General features: G+C 46.5%; 1 protein-coding gene across 3 annotated transcripts in view, besides 3 other annotated features; it reads left to right on the top strand.

The window, feature by feature from the left end:
• KLHL6 (kelch like family member 6) overlaps positions 1–16,721 on the top strand; it is a 68,156-nt gene extending 51,435 nt beyond the window's left edge. For 2 of the 3 annotated variants that reach the window (NM_130446.4, XM_011513273.4), the window contains 4 exons: positions 4,445–4,682; positions 9,991–10,193; positions 11,565–11,778; positions 12,044–16,721. In NM_130446.4, the coding sequence (NP_569713.2) occupies positions 4,445–4,682; positions 9,991–10,193; positions 11,565–11,778; positions 12,044–12,345 (957 nt within the window). In that variant the 3' untranslated portion in view covers positions 12,346–16,721. Of the gene's footprint in view, positions 1–4,444; positions 4,683–9,990 lie in introns of all 3 variants that reach the window. The other variant, XM_011513274.4, reaches the window with a different exon arrangement.
• Positions 5,118–5,314: a silencer, noted in NCBI's record as "fragment chr3:183216746-183216942 (GRCh37/hg19 assembly coordinates)". NCBI's record gives its function as "represses an EF-1alpha promoter that drives an FKBP-Casp9 reporter gene in an ReSE screen in K562 erythroleukemia cells {active_cell/tissue: K562}" and the evidence as "EXISTENCE:reporter gene assay evidence [ECO:0000049][PMID:32094911]".
• Positions 23,792–23,841: an enhancer, noted in NCBI's record as "active region_20889". NCBI's record gives its function as "activates an Ori minimal core promoter by ATAC-STARR-seq in GM12878 lymphoblastoid cells {active_cell/tissue: GM12878}" and the evidence as "EXISTENCE:reporter gene assay evidence [ECO:0000049][PMID:35858748]".
• Positions 25,538–26,073: an enhancer, noted in NCBI's record as "H3K4me1 hESC enhancer chr3:183195987-183196522 (GRCh37/hg19 assembly coordinates)". NCBI's record gives its function as "activates a minimal SCP1, AML or CMV promoter by ChIP-STARR-seq in primed H9 embryonic stem cells {active_cell/tissue: H9 hESC(primed)}" and the evidence as "EXISTENCE:reporter gene assay evidence [ECO:0000049][PMID:30033119]".

The following is a 26,278-nucleotide window of genomic DNA, read 5'->3' as shown; positions in this document are numbered from 1 at the left end:
GATAGAACTGTCTTGAGAGTTAAGTAATGAATGGAACGCTTAGCACAGTGTCTGGTACAAGCTAAGTGCCCCACAAATGGAAGCTGTTGCCATTGCCACTTGGTTCGTTTATTGTTGCTCCATCTCTCACAATCAATCATTTTCCTTCTCTGGGGTTAAAACCAGTCTTTTCACTGTGTCTCAGGTTTTTGTGGCCTTATTTTCCCAAATCCTTCTCAAGGCACTTTCTCATCTTCATTTTATAGTTTGGACAACTGAACCAACCAACCAGCCACCATGACCTCCTAATTGGGGTCTCATTGCCAGTTGATTCCCTGAGTCAGTCTGCTCCCTGCTGGAATGGTCTTGGGTTGACTCCTGATGACAGTAGTGTGAGCCTGGAGGCTACTCTGTGAACACATTTCTCCCCGTACCCTTCATTTACCAAACTTTAACCCTCTTGTCCTATCATCATCTTTCCCATTTTTGTTTTATTTTGTTTTGTTTTTTCTTCAGACAGACTTTTGTTCTTGTTGCCCAGGCTGGAGTGCAATGGTGCGATCTCGGCTCACTGCAACCTCTGCCTCCCAGGTTCAAGAGATTCTCCTGCCTCAGCCTCCTGAGTAGATGGGATTACAGGCATGTGCCACCACCCCTGGCTAAGTTTGTATTTTTAATAGAGACGGGGTTCCTCCATGTTGGTCAGGCTGGTCTCAAACTCCCAACCTCAGGTGATCTGCCTGCCTCGACCTCCCAAAGTGCTGGGATTACAGGTGTGAGCCACCGTGCCCAGCCCATCTTTCTCTTCTAACCTTGCCCATCCTCTAAACTGGTGTTAACAACAGGAAATTTTAGAACACACCAAAAGCAAATGTCAGTCTCCATTTGATTTGGGAATGGTAGCTGGAACCTTCATTGAAAGAGAACTTTGGGGACAGAGGAAATTTGCCTCTTCATTTAACTGCCTCTTAAGTTTTCAGACATGAACCTGATCTATACCAAACATTACTCTGACATGTGTGATGTGGGGAAAGGGGAGCAGAGGCTCCAGCCCAAGGACAGCTTTGCTGAAACAATATGCTCACTCTGTCCCCTAGTATAAGATCTGTGGACAGTGAGCAGTCATTAAGGTGCAATTATCTGCTCTGTTTTTAACAATCTGAAAATAAACTGGTTATGCCTGATTGTTGCATGCAATTCATTGGCAAACACTTCCATATGTCTGCAACAAAGTGGCACGTCTCAGACTTCAGATTGACATTTGTCATGGCTTTGGGGTTAGTATTTTGCCAAATGTAGCTGAACTTACAATGTGGTAATGATGCCACCACTCGGCAGCTCCGTGGTGCTGAATTATAAGACAGGTCTCATTACCCTAGCCAAGCCCATCAGCTAGATGATTGTGTTAGTTCTCAATTGCTGCATAACAAATTACCCCCAAACTGAAAACTTTAAAATAACAAACACTTACTATCTAACAGGCTCTGAGTGTCAGAATGTAGGAGTGGTTTAGCTGGGTGCTTCTGGCTCAGGGTCTCTTATGAAGTTGCAGTAAAGCTCTTGGCTGGGGCTGCAGTAATCTCAAAGTTCATTATGAGATTCAAGCTCACACTTACTGTACTGTTGGCAGGCATCAGATCCTTGCTGGCTGCTGGTTGGGAGCCTCAGTTTCTTGCCATATGGGCATCTCTATATCAGCTGACCTCCCCCAGAGCAAATGACCTAAGAAAGACTGAGAGAGCAATCAGGATGCAAGCTGGTAGTGCCTTTTATAGCCTAATTTCAGAAGTGATGTATCATCACTTCTGCTGTAATCTGTTGGTCATAGAGACCAATTCTAGAACAGCATGGAGGGAACTACACAGATGTGAATACCAGGAAGCAGGGATCACTGGGGCCATCGTGGATGCTCACTACCACAATGATTTAGACTGAGTTACCTAGCTTGCCCATTCATTCACTCATCCATTCACTCATTTTTTTTTTTTTTGAGATGGAGTTTCGCTCTTGTTGCCCAGGCTGGAGTGCAATGCTGCGACGTTGGCTCACTGCACCCTCTGCCTCTTAGATTCAAGTGATTCTCCTGCCTCAGCCTCCCGAGTAGCTAGGATTACAGGTGCCTGCCACCACACCTTGCTAATTTTTTTATTTTCTTTTTTATTTTTAGTAGAGACTGGGTTTCACCTTGTTGGCCAGGCTGATCTCGAACTCCTGACCTCAGGTGATCCACCTGCCTCGACCTCCCAAAGTGCTGGGATTGCAGGCGTGAGCCACTGCACCCAGCTCACTCGCTCATTTAATCAATGTTTATAGATGCCCACAAGCTCCAGGTACTATTCTTGGTGCTGAGGATCCACTGGAGAAAAAGGGCTGTTCCTGCCATCAGGGGCCTTACGGTAAATTACAATGAAGCATGAAAAGGGCCGTTGTGGGGGAAATTCAGGGTTATGAGAATGTGTGCAAAGTTAGGAATGGCTTCCTGGAGAAAAGGGCAAAGTGACATGGTAAATTACTCACAGTGCCTTAAAGGGTAAGTGGATTGGGGTGGTAGCATGGGAAATTGAGAATAGAATATTATGGGGAGATCCAGGCAGCAGGCAGGGACCCAGGAAATTTAGCCAGCAGGAGGAGAGCCTTTCGTAGGTCAGGACCAAGGAACGAGGTGCCAGCCCTGGGGGTCAGGAGGTAAGATCACGGCTAGTCCAGTCCTCCTAGCAGCCTCTCAATCACCCAACAGGTTACTGGGTCAGGAGAGCAAGCATTGCAGATAAGACGAGGGGAGCTTCGGAGTGGAGGCTGAGGCCTGGTTCCCGGAAGTGAAGAAAGGGTCATAAGGGAATGAATTCAGGGAGGCCGGTGCTTTTTTCTAAGCATTGCCCTGAAACACCTAGATCCCCTCCGAAAGAGGACCACATAGATTAGTGCTGGTGGCTGTGCCTCAGCTGTGGGGAAGGTGGTTTAGGGACAGGAACCAGGGCTGACACCTGAAGAGAAAGTTGCAGAGCAGCAAAGTTTGTCTTTGGTGCCATTGCCCAGATCCTGTCCTGCCAGCTTGGTGCTCTCATGGTGCCTCCAGGTTCCCTGGCCCACCCCTTCACCCTTATCCCGGCACTGTTCTGCTGTCCATACCGTCAGGGCCAGCCCATTGCCTAGGCTTTGTCCAGCCACACCCATCCCCACTCTGCTGACCTGTAAGGAACAGCCCTGCCACAAACTTTACGGCCGTGGTCCAGCCTCAAGAACGGAGGATGCGGAACTCACTGTACCAGGCTCCTAGGCACAGAAAACCAACCGAACAAACAAAGACTGTTATGGAAAAGTAGAGGCTGGGAGTTGGCTGGTCTGACTATTTGTGGCTCTTGGTTGGATTCACTATCTGAGGGCTCAGTCTTTGCTACTGTAACCTATTTGTTACCACCTATGGGCAGAATCGAAGTTCTGTAGTCTGTGTTAGATCAGTCTAATTTTGCGGGAAAATTGGCGACTTTGGCCATCTGGGAAACGGTTGCTGCCTCTCCGCCTTGTGTCAGCACACCTATGGAACCTTCATCATGGAGCCCAGGGGATCAATGGAACCAGGGAAGGGCAGCTCTTCCTTTTATAGCAGTATCAACATGGCATCTACCACTGCTCCTACAGGCATAATTAGCTGTTGAGGGGCGAGTGTGTGCCAGGTGCTCTGCTCACGCCTCTACCTCATACCTTATGAATGCTCACAGTCATCTGATAGCACAGCAATGATTACAAGCAGTTTACAGAGATCGTGTTACTTCTCCAAGGTCACATGGCCATAGGTGATAGAACGCTGGTACATTTGACTTCTGAACCTCTGCTCTTTCAGCAGGGTTCAAATACCCATAGTATGGATTTCTTCACTTGTTCAAAGCTCTGAAAGGTCATATGCTGTATGTTGGAACCAGCCTTCCTCCCTCCCTGGCCACACCCTGATTCCTTCTAGTTCTTGTTTCCTAAGTCTCTGAATGCTCTTACGTTGTCACTGTCCAGGATGTCTCTTCCAGAAGGCTGATGGTGAGCAAAGTCTGAGGTATCATCAAGAAATTAAAGCCAAGGGGGAATGGAAAGTAGCGCCAAATAAAATTCCAGGATTTAAGGTTTCAGAGCAGGCAGGAGAGGAAAGGCAGGAAGTGCATCTGATAGTAAATAGACCCTCACCTCTTAAAACAGCAGCAAAAACAGGCAACATGTATTGAGTACCTGTTATGCACCAGGTCCTGGGCGAAGCACACTGTGTACATTATCCCATTTAACCCTCACAACACACCTATGAGGTAGTTACCTCTGCTATCCCGATTATACAGATGATGAAACTGAGGCTCAGGGAGGTGAAGTCACATGGTCATACCGTGGCAGATATGGGAATTGGACCCGACTCCTAATGGCTCCATAGCCCGAGCTCTGAAACTTTGTGTTGTCCCTGCCTTCATGTACCCCCATCGATTTCCAGATCATTTCGGAACGCACCAAGCCCAGGATGCATGAGTTCCAGTCTGAGGTGTTCATGATCATTGGCGGCTGCACGAAGGATGAACGGTTTGTGGCAGAGGTGACCTGCCTGGACCCCCTGAGGCGCAGCCGCCTGGAGGTGGCCAAGCTCCCGCTAACAGAGCATGAGCTGGAGAGTGAGAATAAGAAGTGGGTGGAGTTTGCATGCGTGACATTGAAAAATGAGGTCTACATCTCAGGTAAGCAGGAGTCATGTAAAGGCAAAGCAAGCTCCAGTAGCACTACATATATTCCTGAGTGGCAGCCAGGCAACCATCCTAGAAGAATTACTGTGAATTGGCAATGATCCGGCTCTGACTGAGACAGGATATGGACCCAGGAGCTCAGGTGGTCTTATCTTGGAGAGTACATTGCTACTTAATAAACAAAAAACTGAGCAACATTGTACTATTTTTTTCTTTTCTTTTCTTTTCTTTTTTTTTTGAGACAGCGTCTCGCTCTGTTGCTCAGGCTGGAGTGCAGTGGCGCAATCTTGGCTAGCTGCAACCTCCGCCTCCCGAGTTCAAGTGACCCTCCTGCCTCACCCTCCCGAGTAGCTGGGATTACAATCAGGTGCCTGCCACCATGCCCAGCTAATTTTTGTACTTTTAGTAGAGACGGGGTTTCACCATGTTGGCCAGGCTGGTCTTGAACTCCTGACCATAGGTGATGCACCAGCTTCGGCCTCCCAAAGTGCTGGGATTACAGGCGTGAGCCACCTCGTCCGGCCAGCGTTGTACTATTAATAGAAAACCTGGGGAGGAGGCAGACAAGTCTAGTCCTTCCCAGAAAAAGAAGAGGGAAAGTGGTAAGGGTTTATTCAGTGTCTGCTATAGGCATAGGCCCCTGAGCTACGCAGTGGGAATTCAGTAATGAGTAAACACGTCTGCCCTTCCCCTCCCATGTCTATTAGGTTGTACTTGGGTATAGTTCAGTAGGGCCCAATACTTTTTCATTACGAAAGTGTTTGCTTCAGTATTGATCGTTACTTTGTGTCTGCCTTTCCCATTAGACCTGGAGTTCCATGAGGGGCAACACTATAGCCCCTGTACCTAGCACTGTGCCTGACCTCGGGGTAAATGTTCAGTAAATATTTATTGAATGACGCAGTCTCAACCATCTTTACTGAGTGGGAGATACATTTATACTTTAATAACATTTAATTGCTTGCCTCTCACATCAACTCTGCAAGGTAGGTGTTTTTAAGGTAGGAGAAAACAGAGGCTCAGAGAGATACTCAGACATACCTAAGGTCGCACACTGGTAGGTGTCAGGCAGGACTTCAACCCAAGTTCTAAGCCTAACGCCCACACTCTTCCCCATCACATCAAAAGCCACCTGGCTCTCCCTGGGACCCTAAGGAAGGAGACAAGCTTCCCTTCCCCTTTCTTAGAGGCTTTTCTTGAATCTGAACTTGTGGGGAAAGCTGGACCCCAGAGCGTGTTTCCTCCAAAATCAAGGGCAGGTCATTCTTTGGATGCATTTATACCATTGATTAGGTTCTAGCTTTCTTTTAATCTTGTAGACGTTTATTTTATTTTATTTTTTATTTTTTTGAGACAGAGTCTAGCTCTGTTGCCCAGGCTGGAGTGCAGTGGCGTGATCTCGGCTCACTGCAATCTCTGCCTCCTGGGTTCAAATGATTCTCCTGCCTCAGCCTCCCAGGTAGCTGGGATTACAGGCACGTGGCACCACATCCGGCTAATTTTTGTATTTTTAGTGCAGATGGGGTTTCACAGTGTTGGTCAGGCTGGTCTTGAACTCCTGACCTTGTGATCCACCCGCCTCAGCCTCCCAAAGTGCTGGGATTACAAGCGTGAGCCACTGCGCCCGGCCTTAATTGTTGTAGAAGATCCAAACAATACTGAGCACGTAAAGTAAAATAGGGCAGTTTCTCTGTGCCATCACAATTCTATGGGTTTTCATTTTTTACAAAAATTGTTTTCTATTTGCTCAGGGTAAATAATTTTAGCTGCTGTTACAAATCCTAAGTCTCAGTGAATTAACACAATAGTATGCAGGGGTCGGGGCAGGACAGTCTGCTCCACTCAGGCACTCAGGGGCCTAGGGGCCTGCCATCTTCTGACACTGCCTCTTCCTACACATGGCCTTGATTTAGGGACAAGAAAAAAGCTAAGGGAGTTGAGAAGTCACACCTGCTCATAAAAGCCTCAGCCTGGAAGTGCCATCAATTTTGCTCACATTCCATTGGCAAAAACTAGCCACATGACCTCCCTTACCCTCCCCTCACCCCCTCTGGGTGCAGGGACCTGGGAAATGTAGTTTAGCTGTGTGCCCAGGAGGGATCAACAGGTGTGGTCATCATAGTCAGTCTTTGTCACATATACTACACGTGTTATTCTTTTTTTCTTTTTCTTGAGATGGAGTCTCACTCTGTTGTCCAGGCTGGAGTACAATGGCGAGATCTCGGCTCACTGCAACCTCTGCCTCCCAGGTTCAAGCAATTCTCCTGCCTCAGCCTCCTGAGTAGCTGGGACTACAGGCACATGCCATCATGCCTGGCCAATTTTTGTATTTTTGGTAGAGAGGGGGTTTCACCATGTTGGCCAGGCTGGTCTCAAACTCCTGACCTCAGGTTATCCGCCTGCTTTGGCCTCCCAAAGTGCTGGGATTACAGGTGCCCACCACCATGCCTGGTTAATTTTTGTATTTTTGGTAGGTGGGGGGCTCACCATATTGACAGGCTGGTCTCAAACTCCTGACCTCAAGTGATCCGCCCGCTTCGGTCTCCCAAAGTGCTGGGATTACAGGCGTGAGCCACCACGCCCGGCCCAATTTTTTTTTTGTATTTTAAGTAGAGACAGGGTTTCACCATGTTGGCCAGGCTAGTCTTGAACTCCTGATCTCAGGTGATCCGCCCACCTCAGCCTCCCAGAGGGCTGGGATTACAGGTGCGAGCCACTGTGCCCAGCCCACATGTTATTCTTTTGTCATAAATTTGTTGTTCACTTTTTAATGATACAAGCAATACCTGAAAGCATGCTTGTTATACACGGCTAAATCAACAGAAACTTGTACTTCAATTAACAATATCATCTGGACATGATGACATGTTGGTTTAATGGATATACATATCAAGTGATATAGTTATTACATGCAAAGCACATGGTGGGAGCTTAATTATGTTGGCCAGTATTATCACTACTGTTATTCTTTTTACCAGCTATATGGCAGTCTACCAAATGGATAAACCATAATTTTTTTAGCTTTCTTTTTTTGGTCTCCTTAAAAAATATTGCAGTAGGCATTCTTAGACACATATTTTTTCATACTTGTGCTGCTACTTGGAAAGTTTCCTGGAAGTGGTCATATGTGAATTAAGAATTTTGTATATATTGTGAAATTTTCCTACAGAAAAGTTGTACCAATTTACAGTTCAATCAGTGATGAATGACAGTGCTCATTTTCTATATCCTTGCTAACGATTTTTATTATTAGTCATTTAAATTTTTAATAGACTAGAATGGTAAATATATATTTACCAGATAATTGTATTTATTTTTAAAAATTATCTGTTCATACTCTTTGACACTTCCTATCAGTTTTTGTCTTGTTCTTACTAATTTTTTGGAACTCTTCTTATATATCCTTTGCTATTTGTGTTGCAAATATTTTCTCCTAGACTGTGGTTGTTTTTTACCTTTATATACTTGTTTTCTGTCCTATACAATTCTACATTCATGTCATGCTTAGAAAACCCCTCCTAACCCCAAGGTCATTAACATAATATCCTATACATTTTCCAGTTACTTCTGTAGCAGTAACATTTGAATTTTATTTTAAATGTAATGTAAAATAAGTATCTAACTTAATCTTTATCCAAATGAATAACCAATTGTTCTAATAACATTTATTTAATGATCTGTATATATTTTAGTCCGTTTCTGTGCTCTTGTTTTTAACTGATCAGTTTGTCTAGTACTGCACTGTTTGTATTAGGATAGCTTTATAGTATATTTTAATATTTGATAAGGAAAGCCTCCTTCTTCCCTTTTCTTTTTCAAAAGTTTCTTAGAAATTTTTCCAAACTTACTCTTCCCAGTGAAATTTAGAATTATCTCATCAAGTTCCCCTCAAAAGTCTTGAAGGCACTGAGTATATAGATTAACCTAGGGAGGGTTGACATCTTCACAATAAGGTGTCTTCTGATTTATGCACACAATATGCTTTCTCAGGGTTTTTTTTTTTTGTCCTAAAATAAAATCATAGGTTTTAATAAAGGTTGCATACATTTCTTTGAAAATTTACATTTATTTTATACTTTTTGATGCTACCTAAATGGGATCAATGTTTTGAATAAATGGAGACCTCTGAAAGGTACCCCACCCAAAGGAAAATAGCCAAACTATATGAACAAAAGATTCAAGGAAGAGGAAGCTCAGCTTCCCTCATAGTAAGCGAAAACCAAACTGACATAGTTTTTTTCCGTCAGACTTCAAAAAAATAAATAAATAAAAGAAAGAAAACAAAACCACCACCACCAACAAAAAGTGGGTATGAGGAAAAGTCAACCACCACAGCTGCGGAGGATGCCTTGGCTGCACCTATAAAAATTCAGGGTGCACATGGCTTTGACTTAGTAAACCCACTTCTGGGTTCCATGCTAGAGAAACACCCCTGACACAGAATGTGGTCAGTAATGTTCATTTCTCCACTATTGCACACATGTAAGTCTGAAAAGTAAATCTTTGCTTTAAGTAGTTGGTGGTAGTCTATGCTGATGGGAAAATGGAAACACAAAGCTGTTAAATATTTGATTAAAATCACCCAAAAAGTCAGTTCTCCTTTGTCTTTGTCTCTTTCCCCAGCTGCTGAATTTTGTATTTTCTGTTTTTTAAGAGAGTTGCCTTCAAGAAAATGTTTACCAGATCACTCTCAAATGATCTATTGTGAGCATCTCATACTTTTATAACAAAAATTATTTAGAAATAGGATAAATCCCACTGATTGTTTTAAACAGATCAGAGCGACAAACCAGGAGAATGTTGTAGGATTTCTTAGTGATTTTTCCAGGTCTGTATCTTTGCTTTTTGGTTTAAATAAAAAGTAAACATAGAATTTAAGCTGCCATGTAATTTGCCTTCTGCACAAACCCCACTGTCCCCGCCCAGCCTTGCTTCCTGCTCCCTGTGAGGGCAAACACTGAGTCCAGGCTCCCTCTGGTCCCTACCCACCCAGGCTGGCTTGGGTCCTGCCCCCTGAAGCCTTCTCAGGGCACTGCTCACTTAGCCACCTCTTCTCTGAACTCTCGCAGCACTGAGGTGGACATGACACAGTGTGGCACATCATCCATTCTGTCTCTCCCTGTTCCCCTGCATTTGCCTCATCTCCCCTGCCAGACATCACACACCTGCTGGGTTTCTTGTATCTCCCCTCAGGGTAGGGCTGGCCTGGGGACCTGGCACTTTTGGACATGTGGGATATTATGGGAGAAGCTGTATTTCTGACACATCTGATGGTTTCTTAAATGCTTTGTATCTCTTGCAGGTGGCAAAGAAACACAGCATGATGTTTGGAAATATAATTCTTCGATCAACAAGTGGATTCAGATTGAGTATTTAAACATAGGCCGCTGGAGGCATAAGATGGTGGTGTTGGGTGGCAAGGTCTATGTGATCGGAGGCTTTGACGGCTTACAGAGAATCAACAATGTGGAGACCTACGACCCCTTTCACAACTGCTGGTCAGAGGTATAGGACACGATTTCTACCAGTAACTGCCTGTATTATTACTTCAGTGCTTTTTTAAAAAGCTTTGGAACGTGCCTGCCGTGGTGGTCAGCTTTCTGATCACTTTACTTCCAAGGAGAACAGTTTTGGTGGCTCTGAGCTTCCCTCCTCCTAGGAGCTATTGCTTCAGTATTGCTGATCAAGTCACAGAAACAATGTCCTTCCAAGTGGTGAAGGTCTGTGTGGGCACCTGTCCTAATTTGGACAGAACCCCAGATGTGCACAGAGGCTCACCCTGTCCTTAGATGGGAGATCTCTTGGTCTGCATGTCTTGGTGTAGAGTCTTGTCTCCTCAGATGCCTTCTCTCCTATTCTTCTCCACACTGGACACATGCGGATCACTTTACTACACCGTTTATGAACCCAGAGTGATTTGGTCATGTTAGAAATCATCCCTTCTTTATTTTCCCATGGATGATGAGCCACTTACAGGCCTGCATGTCAGACTTTAGTAATGCAACCTCAGGTATATATCAGACCCAGGAAAAGAAAAGCCACCTCATCTCATTTCCAGGTTATTCCCAGTTTCAAATTTTCTTTCTCCTTATCAGATCAGATGTCCAAGCATGTTCCAGCTTAATGGAATGTACAACACAGTCATTGTAGGCACAAGCAAAGGTAGCCAGGTCACCACATCTAGCCAAGACTGTCAGCCTGAAAAGTGCTATATTGAGAGCCCTTAACATGTATGGGGGACATGCCCAGGATCTTCTCAAAACAAGCCCTATCACAGAGCTGCTCCACGATCTAAAAGGATCCTGTAAATAAATGGGCAAGAGGCTCTTGGAAGTCTCCTTTACTGTCCTGGGGTTCACAGGATAGAAGCACACGTCTGACTTAATCTCAAAATCCTCAATGCTGCCCCATAATGGAAGAGTCTGCTTACCTGTGGCCACCGTTTCAGCTTTTCTTCCTAGATATAAGCACCAAGGAAAATCAATGCTGGTACATAGTAGGCATTCCATAAATATTTTTCGAGTGGATGAGCACATGAATGAATATGAATATGCATGTATAAAACATCATTTTCCTCCCACACTGGCTGACTTCATCTGTATAAACTTATTCTTGCCTGAGAGCTGGATTCCGGGAGAGGCTGGCACATCCCAACACACAGCTTGCTCTAGCTTGCGTGGAGCCTGGAGGGAGGGTGGGAAATGCATGCTTTCATTCTTGCTGTGTCTTAAGAGGAGTCAAGCCCATGGGCCTTGTGACTATAGGCAAAAGATGCCCAGTTCTGTGTCCCGGAGCTCTGTCCTGTATCCTGGGAGCTACTGCAGCAATCTGGGCAGCATGACTGACAGCTTCTTCTTGTGCCCTGTGCCTCTACAGGCCGCACCCCTCCTTGTCCATGTCAGTTCCTTTGCAGCCACCAGCCATAAGAAGAAGCTGTATGTGATCGGGGGAGGGCCCAATGGGAAACTGGCCACAGACAAGACTCAGTGTTATGACCCTTCCACCAACAAGTGGAGTTTGAAGGCGGCCATGCCCGTGGAGGCTAAATGCATCAATGCAGTGAGTTTCCGGGACCGCATCTATGTCGTTGGTGAGTAATGGCTTCTTATTGGTCTGAATGGCTTAGAACCTGATGAGCGCCTGGCTGCAGCACGTAAACGGTGTGTCGCGGTGTCTCCAGCGCTGGCAACTCACTGCCCCTAGGACCCACTCTGGCTTTCAGGAGAGCCATCAATCGACTGTTTCTCTTGGCAAGAGGGTAGACTTGGCCTAATCAGAAGTTGAATTTTAGTGGTTAAGAGGGAAGAAACCAGAAAAATGGAGCGATGCCCACCGTGTTTCCTCCCTCTCCTCAGGTGGGGCCATGAGAGCGCTGTACGCCTACAGCCCGCTGGAAGACAGCTGGTGCCTGGTGACCCAGCTCAGCCACGAGCGGGCCAGCTGCGGTATCGCGCCCTGCAACAACCGGCTCTACATCACCGGCGGGCGGGACGAGAAGAACGAGGTTATCGCCACGGTGCTGTGCTGGGACCCCGAGGCCCAGAAACTGACAGAGGAGTGCGTCCTGCCCCGGGGCGTGTCGCACCACGGCAGCGTCACCATCAGGAAGTCGTACACCCACATCCGCAGGATCGTGCCCGGAGCAGTGTCTGTCTGACGGCAGGATGGGGAGCTGGAGAGCCCCCCCGACCCTCAGCGTACCCGCCTCACCTCTCACCCTCCTCCAGTCCCACTTCAGGCAGCAGGCTCGAGTTTGAGGCCATACATCAGGGGATCCCCTTGACTCACTTTGGGGGAACCTTGGAAGTCACAGTTTGGGGTCACTTGAGACCGGCCAGGAATGTTTGCATGACCTACCTCAGGAGGGGAGGCGAGGAAGAGTAATATTTAGCATTCAGGACCCACCCACCCTATGCCGGCTTCTGTGCCAGGCACTTCCTTTTATCGGTTCATTTAACCTGGTGACTGGCTCTTATCACTTCTAGTTTACAGGTGAGGGAACCAAGTTTCACAGAGGCTAAGTGGCGTGCCCCTGATCACTCAGATAGCAAGTAGCTACCCCAGGAGTCTAAAATCCAGGTCTTTCATCTCCGAAGTCAATGCTCTTTCCACCATGCTGCCTATCTCAGAGCAGGAAAAACAAACAAAAAACAACAACAAAACCTGGCTCTTGCTGGGCGTGGCGGCTCACGCCTGTAATCCCAGCCCTATGGGAGGCTGAGGCGGGCGGATGACCTGAGGTCAGGAGTTCAAGACCAGCCTGGCCAACATGGTGAGACCGCCCCGTCTCTACTAAAAATACAAAAATTAGCCGCGTGCAGTGGCAGGCGCCTGTAATTCCAGCTACTCAGGAGGCTGAGGCAGGAGGATCACTTGAACTTGGGAGGTGGAGGTTGCAGTGAGCCGAGATCGCCACACTGCACTGCAGCCCGGGAAACAAAAGTGAAGCTCTGTCTTCAAAACAAAAACAAAAACAAAAACAAAAACAAAGAAACCTGGCTCATTTCTTGTTTCGGCAAGTCTGCTAAAAGATTCACTCAGCACAGCAGGGAAATAAAGGTGTTTCCTGCTTTCTTTCCTTTTCTTTCTTATTCTGCATCCTCCCTCGTCCCCGCCCTTTACCAATATTTAAACCAAGGAGTCATTTGGGCTCCTTGCCAAGAACATCTCATAGGTTCTTCCACTTGAAAGGTCTGGGGGATGGGCTTGGGAAGGCCTGTTTGCTTTGAAAGAGATGAAATACTTGTGTTCTGTCCTCCTCCCATTGAAACCCTCTTTTTTTTTTTTTTGAGATGAAGTCGCCCAGGCTGGAGTGCAGTGGCATGATCTCGGCTCACTGCAACCTCTGTCACCCTGGTTCAAGTGATTTTCCTGCCTCAGCCTCCTGAGTAGCTGGGATTACAGGCACCTGCCACCGCGCCTGGCTAATTTTTGTAGTTTTAGTAGAGACGGGGTTTCACCATCTTGGCCAGGCTGGTCTTGAACGCCTGACCTTGTGATCTGCCCGCCTCGGCCTCCCGAAGTGCTGGGATTACAGGTGTGAGCCACTGGGCCCGGTCTTTTTTTTTTTAAATGATCATAAGATGGCCCATTTTGGACCGGAACTGTCATTGCCAGACAGAATTGTACCTTTAGCACATTCTGGTGCCCTGGCCTCTTAGTGTTCACCAGTTGTACTGCAATATAGACAAGATGTCTCTAGAGACTCAAACTACTGTTTTATTAAAAAAGTAAACACCTGAGCACAGCTGGCCTACACAGGAGCGACAGATTCTCCTTGATGGTACACTTTCTAGTTTTTACACAGTGATTTAGGTCCACGTTCCTGATACCCCATCCTCCTGAAGCCTTCGTTTTCAAGACTTTTAAAAAGCACTTCTACTTGGTTTTTTGATCAGTGTAGCTCAATTGTGACTTAAAGAACAGAATCTGTCCTTCACTGTAAGAGCTACAGCTTTCAAATGAGCTCACTGGAAATTCATTCTAATCCCCAAGCTGGAGAAACAGGTTAAGAGATCCTGTTTCATATGCTGTATTTAAAAAGCAACAATGATAACAACATAGTAACTGCGTTACCCAATGGACTTTATTTTCATCATATGATTTCAATTCTCTTTATAGAGTTTTATTTCATATCCGGTGTGGCTTGTTCTTTTCAGCAGTTTGGGAAGTTAGTTATTAGAGTTGATAGTGAATTGAATTTTCATTAAACAGTCACGGTTAGAAGAAGCTAATATTTGAAACAGATTTTAAAAACTTGAAAAATTACAGGTGAGATTTCTGTTTATGCCAGATTATTGAAGATAAATATAAATGTATGTTGGTGTGTGAAATGCTCTGTGCCTTAGAAGCGTGACAGTTCAGCTCTCTGCTGTGGAAAGTAACACAGGGCAATAGAAACATATTTGTGGAATTTTAGAACAAACTATTGCTGACTCATGAGCACTATAATAACCATCAGGAAGCTCCCAACTGAAGCAATGTAACAGTGTAATCTAGTTCAATTCAGCAAACATTCATGGAGTTCTTCATGTCTGTCAAGCCTTGAGGACACCCACGAATGGCAAATCTCCACGCTAGACACTCAATACAGGTAAATAGGCCACCAGTTAATATTCTTGTTTTTATTTTCTTCAAGTTAGCTAAAAATGAGATGCGTATGAAGTGAGGAGGCTGGATCCAAGTCTTGATTGCCTTTCAGGGGGTCAAGGTGGTAAGCTGTGCAGTGAAGTCAACCAGTGGCCATGGCTTACATGTTTGTCTCTTTGAGATCGCCACCAGAACCATTTGTGAACTGATTTGTGAAGGAAAAGTCAGTCTTACTCCAAAGACTATTGCAGGGAGGAACTTCCAGAGAGGAAATCCAATGACAATGGTACTGGCATACACAGGGAGCCTCCCTTCAAAAAGACAGCGCCCCTAGTCAGGGAGGGGATGGCGGTCCTTTGATAAGACCCATAGGCAAACTTCGAGCCCATCAGCAGGTCAACCCTATGCTGGGAAAGTGAGGATTTGGGATTTCTGTGCTATAAACCTGATTCTAAATGTAGGACCCAAGTTTCTGGACTACTTCAGAATACCTAAATGAATCATGGAAACACTCTTTATGATTTTTTACAACACCAGATATGCAGGTGAATTGTGGAAAATGTCATGTAGCTGACACTCAAGAAATAGGGATTCCTAATAATGGCATGGGTAGGGAACAGATACACCTGGTTAGAAGGTCTAGGGTTCTGTATATGAAGCTGCCAGTCTGTAGCTCTTCGAGAAAGAAAGTTCAAGTCATTTGGGGGAAACTTAAGAATAGTCATCAGGGTTTTAGCTTCTAGGCACCAGCCAAGGATGAGAACTTCTAAAATCTAAAATCCATTTCAAGAAATAAAGACGAACACATTTGCAGGAAGGTAACTGTTATAACCCACACCATCAGCAGGGGGAAAGCCAAGCTGAGAATAAACCCAGAGACAAAGAACCCTCGGACTCAGGCAGGACATGGCAGGATGTTCTGGCACAGCAGACTGGAGACTGAGGCAGGGCCTGTGAGTGGACAGAGCACCCCTGGCTGGGAAGAAGAAGATGGGGTAGGAGGAGGTCAGGTTCCAAGGATGCAGGTCTGGAAAATGATATCGGAGGCCCTGGAGTTTGTGAGCTTGGCTCTAGTCCCAAGAAGGGTGAGGGAGAATAAGGGTAAGGGAGTATTCTAGGCAAGGAACTAAGGAAGGAATCCCCTTCTTAGAGCAGAGGCACAAGTTAGAGCAGGCCCAGCATTTGGGCCAACTTACTGTGGGGCCTCTGAGCTGCTCAGCTGGGTCTCCTGTCCTAGAGGGAAGGTGGCCCAGAGTCTTTGGTGGAGCGGAATCTGTAGATGAGGTTAAGGGACTCCAGTTGCCAAGGTTGATCTGAAACAGGCAGGGAGCTAAGCTCATCAGAACACCAACAGATTCATGTTCTCGTCTTAGCTTTCATCTATTCTGGTCTCAATGGCTTCGGGAAACACACATATACACATACACCATGCCCTTGAACTCAAAGCAAACTACGCTCTCAGGGAAATACAAATATCACGTTCTTATAGCTGTAAAGTATAGCTTAGCTATTTATAGAAGACTATGAGGTACTGTTGTGAGTTATTTGCTTATCCTGTTTTATTCTGAAAAATGAAAGTGCTCAATAGAATTTTTAACGTTGGCAACACCATAAGGATTTCTTATGTTAAGTCCCAACTTGGGGTTGCAAAATCATTTTTTCCCTTAATACCTGGGTGTTGTATTAGATCTCATAATTTGACAAGTTAACCTTTTAGAAATCCACATATATCTCAAATCTGGCTACTGCAAAACCAGTTTTGACAGGTCAGATTTTCATATGTATAGGTATAAATAGCCAACACTCAGTGAACAAAATCCTTTAAGCATTTTGGTTACATAAAGTTGTATGTTTTAAGTGATCAAACTAAGAATATTGTTTATAGGTTTTAAAAACCAAACCAATAAAATTTTTATTTATTCAATAAAATATGCACAGAACAGATGCAAATGTGTTATATACAATCATGAAGTTTTTTTTTTTTTTTTTTGCTGTTTTTAGTTTATATAAATGAGTGGTGTCTGAATAGAAATTAATTTAGAAGGTGGAAATTTAAAACGTTTCATTTGGTTCATGGGACTTTAGATAAGTTCATAGGTTAAAATTCACCAGGTTTGATTTATAGAATGTCAAAGAGTAGACAGATTTTCCCTCCCTAAAGATGCATTGCCTCGCTGAGCAAGCTTTTACCAACCCATATGCAAACTGCGTGACTCTTCTCTTGCCTGGCCTCAGCTCTTCTTACAGGAGACCCCCTTCTAGGTTTTTGATTACAGGTCTGACCTTTTAGCCTGCGTCCACCATTGTTCCTGTGTTGTCTCTGAAGCCCTCCCTGGTCTGTGCTTCTCAAATTGGGGCACGTGTAACTTGGGGTATGAGACTTCCCTTTAATCACTGGAAACCTTGTTATCAATTTAGTTTGTTTTGGTTACAATGCAAGACTCCTGTGTATTTGAAAAGGAAAATCAGAGGCTTTAAAGAAATCTGGGGTTCCATGAATAGCTTCAGACCTTCCCCTCTGGGCATCCCCAGAGGTAGATGTTCTGCCTTAGGACTTCTTGGTGGAAACCCTTGGGAATCACAGACCCAGCTTCCTCACTGGTGGGGAATGTTCTGGAGTGATCTTGGGCCCTGGATCTGAGTGCCAGTGCACCAGCTGTGAGTCAAACGGAGTTTTGACCTTAACTTTGCTGCTGAGCCTTCCAATTTCCCCGCTGGGTCTAAGTGATAATCTCATGTCTGGGCAGTTTGGCCGGGGCCAGGCATCTGCCCAGCTTTTCTTAGTGCCTCCCCCTGCACCAGCTCCTCCCTGCTGGTGTATGGCATCTTCTGGACCAGCTCCTTTTCACTGGACGTGCAGCCTTCATACAGGATCTCAGTTCTCTCCCGCCCTCCATAGGCCCATGCCTTATGTTCCGTTCCTGCATGTGGCCACAGTTGAAAACTCTTTGGTGCTGGGGATGAATCCAGGTCCAGTCCCACCCTCCCCAGTCTCCCCACCATTGGCCTGGCTGCTTACCAGTCACTCTGTTTTTCACTTCCATGTTTGTTTACTGGCACCTGGGGATTTTCCTTTTCTCTTTGCACATTCAGATGTCTGCTTTGTTATTGATTCCCACATGAAACGCTGCCTTGAAACCCATGCCCAACCATCTCTACTCATCTGCCTGGATAGAGAATATGAGACTTCCTGCTTATAAATTCTTTGGGAAAGTTAAAGCTGGGTAGAGGGAAAAGGGGGTGGCCTTTGATGTGTAAGACAACTGGAAATCTCCCTTTGTAACACGAATCCTGGTTCCTCCACGTTTGGCAGTGGAAGGAGAAGCTCCCAGTGGGCACGGAAATTTGGACCTCATAGCCCCAACTCTTCCCTGTAAGGAAAGAGTCCCATACACAACTCTTCATTTAATTTCCTAAGGAACATCAAAGACCAGACTGGAACAGTTAAAACTTTACTTATAACTTAAACATAGGAAGGGAAGATACTCTAGATTATGAGGATGACAAGAATCAGCTATCTCTGAGAAGCAATGTTTGTCTTGAGAAGAAGTGTGTGTGTGTGCGCGTGTGCATGTGTACGTATATGGTTTAAAAATAAAAATAAACAAGCTGGACATTAGTTAAAGCAGTGAAAACAAATTTTATTCAGTAACTGCTGACAGTAGCGGAAAGAGCTGAGCTCTATTCTGATTTGTGCAGAGATGCTGACTGGGCCTTTTAAAGGGAGAATAAGGGAGGCAGGAGGTGGAGCGAGCAGGTTCAGGTAGAGTCAGGGAAGTGAAAAATGACAAAGTGTTGGGCAGAGTCAATATGATGAGACCAGCTGTGTCTGCTAGCTGGCAGTTCTCGAAGCTAGGATCCTCTCTCCTTCCTGATAATTACCTTGAGGGGAATGGCTTTCAGGTCCTTGAGAAAGACACCCCTGAGCTGTAGGCAACACATACATAGTAGCTCAGAGCAACAGAGGAAGGATTCACAATGGTAAGCCTCCTTTTTTTAGTAAATGCTCTAAAAAAGCAAGATCAGGGGCCTGTTGTCAGATGTTGGTGGAACAAACTCAATTCTTTTGACAGCCTTAAGCTTTCCCAGACAGCAACTCAAAAGGGGGCTGGGCCATCCCAGGGACGTGGCCTCAGGCTGCTAGAAGCCATGCGATGGTTTGGTGAAGTCTCTGAGCGCAGGGTATGAGTGGAGTGTTGGTACTGAGAGTTTCAGTGTCCCAGGTATACTTACCTTATGAAACAGATACAGTTAAAAGAACAGGTGTGCCCACCACCTGCGCTGCTGTTGGCAGCATTTTAAAAGAGAACTGACCATTTTCTACAATCCACCACAGGCCCACTGTGCGAGGCCAGGAGTGCCGAAGCCCCTTCTTCTAGAATCTGCTGAAGGCAACTAAAGAGAAAAATAGTACTAAAGCTTCTTTGACCCATACAGGCCAGAGCAGTGCTTTCAAACTTTCTTGAACATGTATCACAATAAGAAACACATTTTCTGTATTTCCTATTCTATTTTTTTCTTAAAATGCTGTTCACAAGCCACCAAATTAATTTCATCACCCACTAAATGGGTCACAGGTCACAACCCATATCTGAAAGGTACAAGGCTGGAGGGCACTGACCTGGGCAGACAGGGCAGGGGTGAGGGGAGATGAGGGTGGCAAAGCCTGGTGTATTAGTCCATTTTCATATGCTGTGAAGAAATACCCGAGACTAGGTAATTTATAAAGGAAAGAGGTTTAATGGACTCACAGTTCCACATGGCTGGGGAGGCCTCACAATCATGGCAGGAGGTGAAGGAGGAACAAAGACATGTCTTACATGGCAGCAGGAAGGAGTGCCTGTGCAGGGGAACTGCCCTTTATAAAACCATCAGATCTTGTGAGACTTACTCACTATCACGAGAACAGCACGGGAAAAACCTACCCCCATTATTCAATTACCTCCCACCAGGTCTCTCCCATGACACCTGAGGATTATGGAGCCACAATTCAAGATGAGATTTGGGTGGGGACACAGCCAAACCATATCATCTTGATTTAACAAAGCGGCAATACACAGAAGGCAGAGGGAAAACCTGACTGCGCAGAGAAATCTGTAAGTCTGGCCTTAGATAAACAGGATTTTTGTTGGTGAAATTCTGTTCTTTGTTTTTTTGTTAGTTTGTTTGTTTTGTTGAGTTTTTTGAGGTTTTTTTTTGAGTTTTTTGAGTTTTTTTGTTAGTTTGTTTTTTTGAGTTTGTTTGTTTTTTTCTGTCGCCCAGGCCGGAATGCAATGGTGAGATCTCAGCTCACTGCAACCTCCACCTCCTGGATTCAAGCAATTCTCCTACCTCGGCCTCCTGAGTAGCGGGGATTACAGGCACCTGCCACTACGCCCAGCTAATTTTTGTATTTTTAGTAGAGACAGGGTTTTGCCATGTTGGTCAGGCTGGTCTCGAACTCCTGGCCTCAGGTGATCCGCCTCCGCCTGCCTTGGCCTCCCAAAGTGCTGGGATTACAGACATGAGCCACTATGCCTGGCCGAAATTCTATTCTTTCATAGTAAAAATGTAGTAATAGGAGCATCTATTGAGTAATTTCCCTGAAACATGAGACCAAGCCAGAAATAGAAAAAAAAAAAAAAAAGAAAAAGATTAGGACAGTGACAAAACTAGTCTAGGAAGAAATGCTGAGGTTTTTAATTGTCAAAGTGCATTCTGGTAGAATGTCACATTCCGGGAAAAGGTCACTGGAGGAATCTGTAGGAAAAATGATGCCTTAGATTTTGTTCTGAGTTCTAAGTAGACATTAGTGAAAGAAGGAATGGGGTGAGTCTTTGTGAAACAATGCAACAAATATTCATTGAGCGCCTACTACGTGCCAGGCATGATTTCTGTCCATCTGTGAACAAAACAAAGCCTCTGCTCACATGAGCTAACATTCTAGTAGAGAGAGACAGGCAAGAATCAAACAAGCATATAATATAATGACAAGTAGAGATAAATGTCCAAAGAAAGTAACTCAGGGGAAGGGTGATGCATGCTACTTGAGCTAGGATGAACACAGCCAACCTTTCTGATAGAGACACTTAAACAGAGGCTTGAGTGAAGAGAGCATGAGAGGCCTGAGAGTATCTGGGGAAGCTTACTCCAGGCAGAGGGAAGAGCTAATGAGGCTCTGAGGTGGGAGGCTTCTGTGTATTTAAGGAACAGTCATGGCTGGGCACGGTGGCTCATGCCTGTAATCCCAGCACTTTGGCAGGCCAGGATGGGCAGGTCATTTGAGGTCAGGAGTTCGCGACCAGCTTGGCCAACATGGTGAAACCCTGTCTGAACTAAAAATACACAAAAATTTAGCTGGTCATTGTGGCATCCCTGTAGTCCCAGCTACTTGGGAGGCTGAGGCAGGAGGATCGCTTGAACATGGGAGGCAGAGCTTGTAGTGAGCCGAGATTGCGCCACTGCACTCCAGCCTGGGTGACGGAGTGAGACTCCATCTCAAAAATAAATAAATAAATAAGTAAGGAACAGTCAAGAGGCCTGTGTAGCCGGACTAAATTCAGAGCCATGGTAGGGAGTCTCAGAGGCCTGTGTAAGCACTTGGAATGTCATCAGAGTAAGGTGATAGCTCTTAAGACAGGTTCAGAAATGCTAGAGACTCACAAATGTTCCACACCTAAGCTTGTGGCTTGCAAATCCAAGTCAGCTATGTTCGCAGGTGCGTAACAGCAAGGAATTGCCACCCTGAGCCCAATGTTTTTATGAATCCAACGTATATTGAGTTTGTTCTCCAAATCCATGCTCTGTCTTGGGCATGATCCTGTTCTGGGCACTCATATTACGGTGGGCTGGGGCTGACTCTCCAAATTGCCTACTCACACACCCTAGGGTTGTTGGGGAAGCCTTTCCAGGAGCTACGATCCCAACTCATTCCCAGTGTAGGTGGAAGGCAGTACTTTGATCATGTGACCGCTTATCCATTCAGCATCTTGGTGACAGTGGGAACATCAGTGCTGGTGTTAGTGGGGATGGGCAAAAGGGGACAAAAGCCAGAACTCTTAAGTTAGTGTGCCCCAGGAAGCCCAGTTAATTTTTGAAAAGATCTTGTTGGCAGCCTAAAATCATGTGACCTGAGATCCAGCACATTAAAAAACAAACTAATAAAAATTTCAATGGCTAAATGCAAACCAACAAACTATTTTAAAAACCTGTAGGCCGGGCGCGGTGGCTCATGCCTGTAATCCCAGCACTTTGGGAGGCCGAGGTGGGCAGATCACGAGGTCAGGAGATCGAGACCATCCTGGCTAACACGGTGAAACTCCGTCTCCATTAAAAATACAAAAAATTAGCTGGGCGTGGTGGCGGGCACCTGTAGTCCCAGCTACTCGGGAGGCTGAGGCAGGAGAATGGCGTGAACCCGGGAGGCGGAGCTTGCGGTGAGTGGAGATCGCACCACTGCACTCCAGCCTGGGCTACGGAGCAAGACTCCGTCTCAAAAACAAAAACAAAAAACAACAACAACAAAAAAAAAAACCTGTAAAAGAACGTGTGGCAATTCAGATGCAAGCTAGAAATTAGGTGCTGAAATTTTTATTTCCAATTTTAGAGACTTCATCTCCCTGGGAGGTGGGTTGCAATCCTCAGCAGGAAGCAAGCCTGGAGATGTGCTGAGGGTTAGAAAAGGCTGCGGCTTTGTTACTCACCTCCACTCTAAGTCACCTCATCCTGAAAGTACAGTAATAATAGACTATGCCTCATAGAGTTTGGGTGAGGATTAGACGAGATCGTACACGTGGAATGCTTAGCTCATCGCCCAACAGATTGTAAATGCACCGCACATGTTAGCTGCTGTAATTGTCCTTACTTGACTGAAGGCCCACGGGGCTGGGGGCTGTTTTCTTGCTGGTTTTTATATCTATAGCACTTAGCACAGTGCCAGGTACACAGTGACACTCCAAGAATGTTACTATATCAACACCTACCGGGAGAAATGTATGGGTAGGGGTGGGGCAGTGTGGGGGTCCTGAGGAGCTGCCACCCCAGTAATTACCACCACCATTATTGATCACCTCTTGGACACTTTACACACGCCAGAGGTTGAACAATGAAAACCATAGATACCTTTTTGGACTCTGCCATATTTTTTAAAATTGGCAACACAGGGGTCATATCCCTACTTCACTGGACAGAAAAGAACAGGTACTGTTCCCTTTAGAAAAGGGCTCGTAAGCCAGGCGCGGTGGCTCACGCCTGTAATTCCAGCACTTTGGGAGGCCGAGGCTGGCGGATCGTCTGAGGTCAGGAGTTTGAGACCAGCCTGACCAACATGGTGAAGCCCCGTCTCTACTAAAAATACAAAATTAGCTAGGGGTGATGGCGCATGCCTGTAATCCCAGCTACTCGGGAGGCTGAGGCAGGAGAATTGCTTGAACGCGGGAGCCGGAGGTTGCAGTGAGCCAAGATCGTTCCATTGCACTGCAGCCTGGGCAACAAGAGTGAAACTCCATCTCAAAAAAAAAAAAAAAAAGAAAAAAGAAAAAAGAAAAGGGCTTGTAAGTCTGGTTTGCCAGTGTCCACTGACCTACTTGGTCCCGAAGGCACTTGAGTTTGCAGTCTCTGACGTACACCATTTTGTTTAATTCTTGCATGAACTCTGTGAAGTAAATTGATGCTATATGGATGAGAAAACTGAGGCTCAGAGACTTCCCAGAGTAAAGACTGAACGCAAGTGTGGGGGTCTCCAAGGCTGGCAACGCTTCTGCTCTGCCCATCGCTGCTTGCAGGGAGCGGGTATATGGAATGCCGTGAGGTGATGTCGCAGGTCTCATCTAAGTCCATGCTTCTATGATTCAAAGATTTTAGATCAAGCATGTCACAACTTTAGAGTCACCATGAAAAAAAAATCTGGAAATACTTATTACTAACTCACTCTGTGATCTGTGCAAGGCCAGGGACCTGTGCCATAAAACCCCCTAGTGGTTGAAGGTGACTTCTGAGTTTACTTCCACCCTAACAGACTCTCATACAGGAGGAAAGGCTGCACTTTTTTTTTTTTTTTTGAGACAGAGTCTCACTCTGTCACCACACTGGAGTGCAGTGGCGCGATGTCGGCTCACTGCAACCTCCGCCTCCCAGGTTCAAGTGATTCTCCTCCCTCAGCCTCTCGAGTAGCTGGGACTACAGGCACGTGCCACCACACCTGGCTAATTTTTGTATTTTTAGTAGAGATGGTGTTTCACCATGTTGGCCAGCATGGTCTTGATCTCTTGAACTCATGATCCGCCTGCCTCAGCCTCCCAAAGTGCTGGGGATTACAGGCATGAGCCGCCGTGCGCGGCCGGGCTGCACTTTTAAAAGTGTCCACGAGGGGACAAAAGATGACCACAAGCTCCTTAGTTACACTCCTAGTGATGGGGTGCCGCCAAGGACAGCCTGGGGTAATTTTCCTAAAAGGAAAGAAGCTCCTGTCTCAACTGCCAGACCTAGAGCTCTGTTGTGTCCTCACGGTTCCCTGCCAGGCCTCCCCTCCCAGAGGGAGCTCTTAGAGTGACTGCAGCTGGTCCTATCCCGGGATTATTGAGTCTTAGAGGCCATTGATTGCAAGATAGCTGATCCTGTGGCAGGAAAAATGGTACAATGCCTTAATGTTAGGCTTTCACAATTCATAAATTGGTCCTGCCAGCTTTTCTTTGCTTTGGAATTTGTCCTCTACCATCAGGGATTTGGCCACTTGCCCTACCCTTCCCTTGCATTGTTTAGCATAATCCAGGCTGTCCTTTTGCGGGTTCTCGGTAACAAAGCGTAATACAGCACTGTTTTCTTAGGTGATCTACAGCACTTATTTGTTACCTTGCAAGAAAGTATGAGGCTTTCTTGAAAGCAGATTCTCTAATCCTCAAGGCGTCTGAGAACTGCAGCCCTGGCTGAAAGCTGCTCATGAGAGACCCTGAGCTAGAGCCACTTAGCTAAACTGCCCCTCAGAAACTGTGAGATAATAAATGTTTGTTGCTTCAAGCTACTAAGGTTTGGGAAACTGATTACATAGCTGTAGAAAACTAATACATGGGGAATCGGTGAAGGGTGGAGGGAGGGCAGCGGGGAGTCTGCCTCAGGGATGTGCCCCCCACCTTCATCCTCCAGACAGGACTTCGGAGCACCTGAGGAAACCCTGAGAGACTCCTCTTTAGGGAAGTCATCCAGCCCCGGGGTCCCCTTATGCCAGGAGCAAACAGTGAGGACAGGAGAATGACCATCTATCTTGCTGAAAGCTCTGTGAGGGAGAGATGGAGGGACAGAGGGAGCCGTGCCCTGGATGAATAGGAAGGGCTGTGTCTCCAGGGTCCATGGCCTCTGTGCCCTGGATGATGCTGGGGCTGCTAGGGACCACAGAGCCACCCCCTGGGAGGCTGGGGTTGGCCTGGCTCAGGGGCCTTTGTCAGCCATAGACACCCACAGCCTGGGGTAGACAGGGCTGGCAGGCAACACAGGAACTGGAAAACCGGACAAGCTCCAGCCCCTCCGCAGGGTAAATGACAACTCCAGGTAAAATGATTAGCTGATTCCAGCCCCTCTGCAGGGTAAGTGGCACCTCCAGGTAAAATGATTAGCTGGTTCCAGCCCCTCCGCAGGGTAAGTGGCACCTGGGGTAAAATGACTGCCTGGAGCTGGCAGCTGCTTTCCCCTCTCTCTCGCGGGCCCTGCAGGGAAGCGTAGGAAGGGGAGGGGGCACAGCGCTGGGCACAGAGGGGCTCTCAGACCCTGGACTGAACTGTTTCAGGGGTCATCTAGCCCATTCCCCGCCTCCAGGCGAGGATTTGCCTGAGCCTGGAAAGAGGAAGGATCCTCCCAGCCCTGTCAACCCCAGATTCCACCTCCCTGTGGGGGGACTGTCAGCGCAGGCCCTGACAACCAGAGAAAGACACAGGACCCAGCTGGGCCGGTGACAGCAGGAGCTCCAGGTGCCACAGGTGAGGGTGGGGATGCCTGGAGCACCACGGGGGGCCCAGTTAGTCTAGAGCCAGGTTTTCCATACTCCTTAGAGTGCAACCTCAGGGAGACGCAAATTTTACCCAACACAGAAATACATTTATAGAATTCAAACACAAGCAGACGAAACAATGTTTACCCTTACAGTGTGTGAAGTCCTCATCTGTCCCACCTCATCCTATCGTGCTCTATTCTATCCTAGGAGACAAAGCAGGAGGAGGGCTGCGGAAGTGGGGGAGTCTTATCCAGGCCCTTGGGTGACACGTCTCTCCTGATAAAAACTGCAGCTGCTCTGGGCGTGCCCTCGCCTGTCTCCCCCCAGGCCCTGGGTTCCTGGCAGCAGAGACAGTTACCTATTGACCAGGCATCCCCCAGGGCTCCTGGAAGAATCCCAGAATTCTCAGAACCAGAAAAGCTTAGACAGCATCCTGCAGGCAAAGCCCCTTGTTCTCTGGGGAGTAAAGTGCGGCTCACAGGGTATCCCACCAGGGACAGTGATTGACCACCAGGCTGTGGGCCCTGTGGGGACTGGCTGA

Source organism: Homo sapiens, chromosome 3, assembly GCF_000001405.40.
Source record: "Homo sapiens chromosome 3, GRCh38.p14 Primary Assembly".
Classification (NCBI taxonomy): Eukaryota; Metazoa; Chordata; class Mammalia; order Primates; family Hominidae; genus Homo; species Homo sapiens.
The sequence above is the reverse complement of the archived record's forward strand: the minus strand, read 5'-3'. Positions and strand labels throughout refer to the sequence as shown.